The 9,271-nt window shown below is 48.3% G+C and overlaps 1 annotated feature.

The window, feature by feature from the left end:
- Positions 5,330-5,530: a silencer, noted in NCBI's record as "peak4509 fragment used in MPRA reporter construct". NCBI's record gives its function as "represses an SCP1 promoter by STARR-seq MPRAs in K562 erythroleukemia cells {active_cell/tissue: K562}" and the evidence as "EXISTENCE:reporter gene assay evidence [ECO:0000049][PMID:32103011]".

Genomic DNA, 9,271 nt, shown 5'->3' with positions numbered 1-9,271 from the left:
ATGTGAGATTTGTCACTCTGAGTGTGATCATGAGGGGCTAATTCTCTGGGATCACAAGGTGTTGAATTTATACATTTGCCAAGGCCTTGAGTTCTGATGGATGGAAAAGAGCCCACACATCATGGCTTTGTCCCTCTCTGCACATGACTTTGTCTGCCCCTGTGCATGGTTTTGTCCGTCTCTTCTCAGGCTTTTGTCTGTCTCTGCACCTGGCTTTATCTACCCCTGCTCATGGCTTTGTCCATCCCCAGTCATGGCTGTGTTCACATCTGTACATGGTTTTGTCCACCTCTGCTTATGGCTTTGTCTGCCCCTGTGCGTGGTTTTCTCCATCTCTTCTCATGCTTTTGTCCGTCTCTGCACCTGGCTTTATCTACCTCTGCTCACGGTTTTGTCCATCCCCAGTCAAGACTGTGTTCACATCTGTGCATGGCTTTGTCCACCCCTGCACATGGCTTCATTCACCTCTTCTCGTGACTTTGCCCACCCCTGCTCATAACTTTAACTACCCCTCCTCACAGCTTCATTCCCCTCTTCTCATGGCTTTGTCCATCCCGCTCATAACGTTGTCCACCCCGGCTCATCGCTTTGTTCACCTCTACACATGGCTTTGTTCAACCCTGCTCATTGGCTTTGTCCACCTCTGCTCATAGCTTTGTCCCCCTCTGTGCATGACTTTATTCACCTCTTCTCTTGACTTTGTCTACTCCAGCTCATGAGTTTGTCCACCTCTGTGCACTGCTTTGTCCACCTCTGCTGGTGGCAGACATTGCTGATCACTCTCGGTGCCTTTTCCCACTGAGTGCTGATTGCATTTCAGATCCTCTGTTTTGGGCTCCGAGAGATCCCTGGAGTGATCACTGGAGCCTCGGAGAGACTCCAGGCAGCCTCTGAGAGATCACTGGAATTGGCTTAGGACATCATCAGTCTTGGCCATCCATGCTATGGGGAGGTCACGTGTTGTCAAAGCTGAGGGGCCTTCTGGCTCCTTGTCCAGTACTCGCTTCTTGGATGCAGAATGAACCTGCATGTTTCTACAGACACATGGAAACATGGGTTTTTGTCCCAAGATCTTGCCTAAGTGCCTTCCAGCCCTCCTGTTATCTGCTCTAAAACTACTCACATCCTGGTTTAAACCCCTAGTTCCACACTCTTAGCTCCAGACTCAAGTGCAACCCTCAGCTCCACCTTCAGACTGGACCCTGTCCCTTCCACTCGCTGCCCAGAGCTGACTGGTCCCAAGATTGTTCATTGATCTCTTCGCATCCTTCAGATCCTACAGTGCCCTTTATTGTTATGATAATTGGCCACTACCACCAGTGACTATTGAGTGGTAAAGATGCCTCTTCACACATGTCATTCTAATGCTTGAAATTACACTGAAAAGTATGCATTTTTCATTCTCATTTTATAGATAAGAACACTGAGGATCAAGAAGGAAGGTGGGGATTTACACAGGGCTACATAGAACTGGATGTTGAACCTAGGTGGATCTGGACCCAAGCCTGTACTCCTTAGACTGTGCTATGACGCTCCCATTACACTCATTCATTCATTCAACATATAATTATCAATGAATGCAATGAGAAGAAATCCAGGCTTGGCTCTTTCATTTACAAAGTTTACAAAACAGGGAGTCTTGCCATACCTATCTGTTTATTAATCTATTTCCCCACCTCCCACTAGATGGCTTCTCCAAGGCTAGGACTGATAAATGTGTATTCCTAAATTCACTGGCCAAATACAAAGAGTTCTAAGCAAATCTTGGATGAATGGAGGGATGGATGAATAAATGGATGGGTGAATGAGTGAGTGGATACATATATGGATGAGTGAATGGGTATATAGATGGGTGGATGGTTGGACTGATGGATAGATGGTTGTTTGATGGATGGATGGATGGGTGGATGGGCGGATTGCTGGATGGTTGAATGGATGAATGGGTAGATGGGTAGAAGAACGGATGCATAGATGGGTGGATGGGTGGGTGGGTGGATGGATGAGTGGATCCACCCTGGCATGCTGAGACCGTGACTGAGGCAGGGCTGGAGCCTAGGCTGATTGGAAGAGTTAGCTTTTTGGGTCACCCTGAACATCGGTGACTCTCCCAACTCAAGACCCAAAAGATCTGGAGAGTTGCCCGGGGACAGGTAGGAAAGGGGTGTCACCCCAAGGCCAGGGCAGTGGGAACAGCAGCTTTCAGCATAGACATTAAATGAGAATATTGTCTGCAGAGAATTTAACACCCATTATAAAACCCAGGAAAAGCCAGCAGGCTTTTTATTGTCACTTTTCATTGGCAATTTTGAACACTACTAGTAATAAAATATCCCTTACTTGTGAAAAAAACCTTTCTTGGTCTACATTCTAAGCATTTTCTCTATTTACCACTGAGTTTTTAATCACACACATATACTCACATACACAGACATATGCATGTACACTCGTGCGTGTGCATATATACAAATATATGTCAATAGACATGTACCTCAGTATTAGTTAATTTCATGTGTCGACTTAACTGGGTGCCCAGATTAAATGTTCCTTTTAGATGTCTCTGTGGTGGTGTTTGGGGGAGATTTGCATGTGAATGGGTGGGTTCAGTGAGGTAGAGTGGGTGGAGATCTTCCAATCCCTTGAGGTCCTGAGAAGAACAAAGGCTGAGGATGCAGGAATTCACCTCTCTTTTGTTTCCTTCTGCCAGCAAGAGCAGGAACTTGTTCTTCTCCTGCCTTGGGAACTGCGGTTTACACTGCCAGCTCTTCCGGCTCTCAGGCCTTCAGACTGAGGCTGGAAGTTACACTACCAGCTCTTGGGGGTCTCCAGCTTGCGATGGCAGATCATGAGGCTTCTCAGTTTTCATAATCCCATGAGACACTTCCTTATTTTTATTTATTTATTTATTTTATAATTTTTTTTTTTGAGATGGAGTCTCACTCTGTTGCACAGGCTGGAGTGCAGTGGTGCGATCTTGGCTTGCTGAAACCTCCGCCTCCCAGGTTCAAGTGATTCTCCTGCCTTAGCCTCTTGAGTAGCTGGGACTATAGGTGTGCACCACTATGCCTGGCTAATTTTTGTATTTTTAGTAGAGATGGGGTTTTGCCACGCTGGCCAGGTTTATCTCAAATTCCTAACCTCAGGTGATCCTCACGCCTTGGCCTCCCAAAGTTCTGGGATTACAGGTGTGAGTCACTGCACCCGGCTGCCACTTCCTTATAATAAACCTCTCCCCATCCTTTCTCTCTCTCTCCCCCAGCTCACTCTCTCTCTATATATAAATCTATAGAGAGATGTGTGTGTATGCACATACACACATGTTTATCCTATTGGTTCTGTTTCTTTGGAGAACCTTGACTAATACAACTTAAAATTAACTTATTTGTATTATTCAACCTTTAACAAACATTATTTTCTACATGAAATTTGATTTTTTAAAAACTCTGGTTATACAGTGGGCCCCAGTGCAGGTGGGCTCAGCCATATGGGTTGATTTTAAGCCAAAGGTCACATGCGTATGGGACTTACAGAGCATCAGTGGCCTTGCTCTGCATCACTGCACTGGCTTCTGTCCAAGGAGCTGATTTGCAGTGAGCAGCCGTGGCACGGGGACTGCACAGAAGAGGCCCTGGAACACGGCAGCTCCGGGGTTCTGTGTGGCCACTTGAAGTTTTTACCCACATTTAAAATCCGAAACAGAGAAGTAGCCTGCAAACTTCGTGGTGTAATATTTTATTTGGCACATGCAAATTTTGTCTCACACATGAAGTATTTCATTGAGTTCTGATATCTTGGAAATTTATTATTTGAAAATTGTTAATTCTTTTAGAACTTAAACAGTGGGTCAATATTGTAACACGGTTATGACTAAAAATACTTTTGGAATTTAGAGGAAAGGCTGCTAAGACGATCGATCCATCCCTGTGTCAGCCTGCTGGGTACGCGGGTGCATTCAGTCTTCTCCACAGGAGGGGTCTGCGCAGGGTGAGGGGGCTTTACATCCGCAGGTGTTTGTGGTGGACCAGATGCTTGTGTTGGTAGATCCACATATAATATCTGCAACTCTCTACAGACCCTCAAAAGTGCATTCTCTCAAAACATGCAGCTGGGACTCATACCAGGGACTCACACTGCAGGCACCTGCTTTCAGGCCTGGACATTCTCGCCAGACAGACACAAGCTGAGCCAGCAGTGTTCACAGGAGGTCTTCTTCAGAAAGCCATCCAGTACCTGGGGATGGGGAGGTGTGCGTGCTGAGCGGACACCACATTCAGGACTTGGGGAACCCTTAAGGGGCCCGAGTCTCTGACCACCGGGTCCTGCCTGACCTTTTGCATGAAGGTTGCGTTTAAGTTAGGGCTGCCAGAAAAAAGACAGGATGATGTGTTAATTTCAGAGTCAAAATTTCAGGTACACAATGAATGTTTTCAGTATAATTTTGTCCCATACAATACCTGGGATTCTTTATACACTGAATGTTGTGTTCCTTCAAAATGGATCTGTTGAAAACCCTAACCCCCAATGAGAACACACTTGGAGATACGGCCTCTGCAGAAGTAATGAAGGTTACATGAGGTCATGAAGAGGGGCCCTGGCGCACTAGGATTGGTGTCCCCTATAAGAAAAGACACCAGAGGACGCTCTCATTCTCTCCCAAAGAAGAGGTCATGTGAGCACGCAGCAAGCTGCCAGCCACCAACCAGCCAGCAACAGAAGAGGCCTCAGAGTAAAACCTACCTTACCAGCCCTTTGATTTTGGACTCCCTGGTCTCCAGAGCTATGAGAAATCAACCCCTGTTGTTAAAGCCATCCAGCCAATGGTGTTTGTTATTGCAACCAAGCTGACTAATGCAGACTTAGTCTATTAAAGCGGTAACTTTTTTTTTTATCTGAACTTGAACTTGAATCAGCATCCTGTGCTTTTTTTGTTTGTTTTTGTTTTGTTTTGTTTTGTTTTGTTTTGAAACAGAGTCTCGCTCTGTCACCCAGGCTGGAGTGCAATGGTGCAATCTCAGCTCACTGCAACCTCCACCTCTCAGGTTCAAGTGATTCTCCTGCCTCAGTCTCCCGAGTAGCTGGGATTACAGGCGCCCGCCACCACACTCAGCTAAATTTTTGTATTTTTAGTAGAGACAGGGTTTCACTGTGTTAGCCAGGATGGTCTCAATCTCCTGACCTTGTGATCTGCCCGCCTTGGCCTCCCAAAGTGCTGGGATTATAGGCGTGAGGCACCGCGCCCGGCCTTGTTTTTAAAATCTAACAGTCCTTGTTTAGGCTGCCAGCTGGACTGTGAGATAAGGTCTGGGTCTGGGGGAGAGTAGGTGACATCTGGGAACTTCTTTCTTCCTACGTTGCAGCACTTCTCAGAGCCTGTAAGATAACCAGCTGGCACCACTGCGTGTGTCCCTGCCTTCTCCTGAGGTCAGATGGCTACACCTGGCATCTCAAGGATGGTCCTCCCTTCCTTGAACCCCCACGGGTGGGTCATGGGACAGCTGGTGCACTCAGCCTCTATCATTCAACGGCATCTCCACTAAGGCCACCAATGAGGCTGAATGCCTCGCTCCCTTGCCTTCCATCCCCAGCACAAGGAAGGCCCCCAGCAGGGGCTTCATGCGTGTTAGGTGATTTTGGAGCAAGGATACACACTTGTAGGATTGCTTTAGGGGATGTTTGGGGCTGAATTATGGCCCCTCAAACGTGTATGTTGAAGTCCCAACCCCCAGTACTTCACATGGTGACCATATTTGGAGCTAGAGGCTTTAAGGAAGCAATTAAATAGGTAAAATGAGGTTTTACAGTGGGACCTAACCCAACAGGACTAAGAAGAAGAGATGAGGACACAGACACCCACAGAGGGATGCCCATGTGAGGCCTAGGGAGAAGACAGCATCTACCAGGCCAGGAGAGAGGCCTTCAAAGTGTGCACAAATGTGAACCTGAAGGAGCCAGTCCTTCAAGATGGATCCCAAGTGGCTAATTGGGCCTAAAACAGAGCCAAACAGACTTTGCTGACTAGAGGTCACACTTGTACTCTGAGTGCCTTGAAAACCCCCACCTCTATTCAGCTGTGGGACACCAGTGCTCACCTGAACCAACCAATCAAGAGCTCACCTGCCTCAACCAATCAGAACTCAGTGGATTTCAATCCTTCATTTGCATAAGCAGACCTGATGGGGAACCTGGTCTGTTATAAAACCTGAGCCTTCCCTTTGTTCTCCAGAAGGGAATGTTGTGTCTCCCGGGTTTGCAAATTGTTTGCTGGAATAAAATCTCTTTCCTCTGAATTCCTTTTCAGATAACTTACGTTCACAGAAGAAACCAACCCTGCCAACACCATGATCTTGGACTTCCAGCCTCTGGGACTTTGAGAGAATAAAGTTCGGTTGTTCAAGGCACCCCAGTCCTGCATGAGGACACTGACGCCGGGTGGTGGTGGCCAACGTCCAGGAGCTAGAGTGAAACACACAGCCCCTGCAGGAGTCAGCCAGGTGCCTCCTCTCAGAATCCAACTCGGGGCTCCTTATGCTCACCCACAGCCGTGCATATTCACTTTTTTAAACATGATGGTAATTTTCTTCTCCAAGAAGTAAATGCATCTGGGCCAGCAACAGCAGGCTGACTAGATTGGATGCTGTAGGGGCTGAGTAGTGGCCCCTTAAAGAATCTGTGAAGGTGATTTTATCTGGCAGTCACGTCTCTGTGGATGTAATGAAGTTGAGGATCTCAGGATGAGATCGTCCTGGATTAGGGTGAGCCCTAGATTCAATGACATGCGTCCTTACCAGGCGAAGAGAGAGAGAGAGAGGTGAAGAGGTGGGACACAGAGAAGAAGTCCTTCTGAAGACGGAGGAGAGACGGATGCGGCACTAGCACAAGCCCAGGAACGCCAAGCCACCAGATGCTGGGCAGGGCAGGAAGGATTCTCCCTGGAGCGTTTGGAGGGAGTACTGCCTTCTGGCCTCCAAATCTGTGAAAGAATACATTTCTCATGATAATTTATTACAGCAGCCTCGGGAGACTGGCAAGCGCTAAACTATATGTTGTGTGCTCTCCACGAGGCACACACTGAGCTTGGCCGGGGCATTCGTAGGTGGTTAACAAAAAAGAGAGAAGTGAGAAAGAAATGAGGATTCAGGGGCAGCCCTCACGATGGGCCAGCGGAGGGGAATCGCTCTCCATTCTCGCCCAGCCAGAAGCTGTCATCTCCTGGATATGCATGTTCTTGCTATTCCAGAAAATATTCAAACATGGACAGAAATAATCACATTTTCGATGAGCTGGAGGTTGAAGCTTCTGTTCCAGATGATTAATCAGACTTTATGTGCCTCTCAGAGTTGGGGAGTTTATGTAGTTTTGGAAATGGCTTCCTATTTTATGCACCATCTGCTGAGCTGTTAATAGTGGACAGATCGCGTTGGCAGCTAGGAGGAGAAGTAAAGGACCCGGTGGAAGGAACCCAGATATTTCAGTGTGATTCTAGGGGACAGTTGTTTGTGAAATTTGCCATGACCCTCATCACTCAGGCACCAGGGCCTCCCTTCCCACCATGCTGCAGCCTTGGAAGGGCCAAGCCAGTGTTCCTGGCAGGGTCAGACTGCTCAGATAGGTGGACAGATAACCCAGCTTTTCACTAACAGTCAGGTTACTTCCAATAGAAATGAAGATGACTGTGGCTTTTTAAGACCTTTCCTTCTGCAGGTAGCAAATATACATATGATGGTAACCTCGAGAAATATAAGCCTGGCTCTGTGTGGTCCTTTTACTCATGCAACAAATTCAAAAGAAATAAGTGCCTGGACACATCTGCGCACATGTCTAACTACGTCGATTTTTGCTCGTCATGACATCGATTGAGAATAATCTGGTAAATAGAAAGTTTAATGGCCAGAAGGAGAAGACAGTCCTAAGGTTAATGACTAAGACACAGAAGCAAGCTTACTGTGACATCGTTGTCAAAGGAACACATAGCTTTTGCTGTTGGGTAGTGATGGTAGAGACAGGGTGGCATCCACCGAGGCCATGCGGTCTGGGGACAGGGGCCACCTCCCCCTACCCTGGGCTTTGTGAGAGTCACAGCCTCCGAGTCAGGGAAGAAGCCAATGCTGTCCTTAGAGTTTAATTTACAATGCCGAGGACTTGGCCCATGGACTTACGAAGGACGAGCAGGGCTTGGAAAGCTGGGAGGCCCCACCCAGCAGGAGAGCAGCTCCAGGTGCCTGTCCATGGCCCAGAGGAGGCACAGGTGTCCCGGCCACTTCTTCCCACATGAGGAGAAGGGGCCAGGCAGGAGTGTGTGACACCCACCTATGCTGCCATGACAAATTACCCCAAGCTGGCTGCCTTAAAGCCACGCACACTCGCTCCCCTAGGTTTGGAGGTCAGAAATCTGAAATCCACGTCAATGAGCTGAAATCGAGGCATCGGCAGGACTGACTCCTATTGGAGGCTTTAGGAGATAATTTGTTTCTTGCTTCTCCAGCTTCTGGATTGAAGTTCCTTGGCCCACAGCCGCTTCCTCCTTCTTCAAGCCCCAGCATGGCACCTCGCTTCAGCCGCCATACTGCCCTCTCTTCTTCTGTAGGACCTCTCCTTCGGCCCCCCTCTTGTAAGGATGCCTGTGATGTCATCCTTAGGATGCATCTAGATAATCCAGGAAGATCTCCCCAGCTCAAGCTTCTCGATGTCATCACATCTTCAGAGTCCTTTTTGCCACATAAGGTGGCATTTACAGGGGCCAGGAATTCAGACCTGATGTAGGTCCCCTTTCGGGACCCTTGTTCAGCCCTCTGTGGGGGCTAGAGGGGCCCTTGGTCACACGGTCATAGCCACTGCCGAGGCAGACACAGAAGGGCTCCCTTTGCTAAAGAAGCATAGCCAAGGGCTGGAGTCACAGCTGAGTCCCTCAAACACTCATGGAAGGGACGCTTATTATGCACCCAGTGTACGTCACCCCCGAGCTGCAGGCTGGCAATGCAGTCATTCACTCACTCATTCAAACATCCCCACACTCAGGGGACACTCACTGAGGGACGCACCTCCCCAGAAACGTGGATGGCATCAGAGTACTTTGCGAGCAGGATAGAGGCTGCGCTGCACCCAAAACAGCAGAGACAGATGGGTACATTATAGCACAGAGAGCCACTGTGCAGAAGTGAGTACACCATGGTCTCGGCGCGGAGAATGGCTTCCACCAGCCCTCTGGGGCCTCGACAGACAGGAAGACTTCAGCAGGCAGTGGTGAGAAACAGGAGACCTCCTGGCTGAATTGGAG

This window comes from Homo sapiens, chromosome 22 (assembly GCF_000001405.40).
Source record: "Homo sapiens chromosome 22, GRCh38.p14 Primary Assembly".
In the NCBI taxonomy this organism is placed as follows: Eukaryota; Metazoa; Chordata; class Mammalia; order Primates; family Hominidae; genus Homo; species Homo sapiens.
The sequence above is the reverse complement of the archived record's forward strand: the minus strand, read 5'-3'. Positions and strand labels throughout refer to the sequence as shown.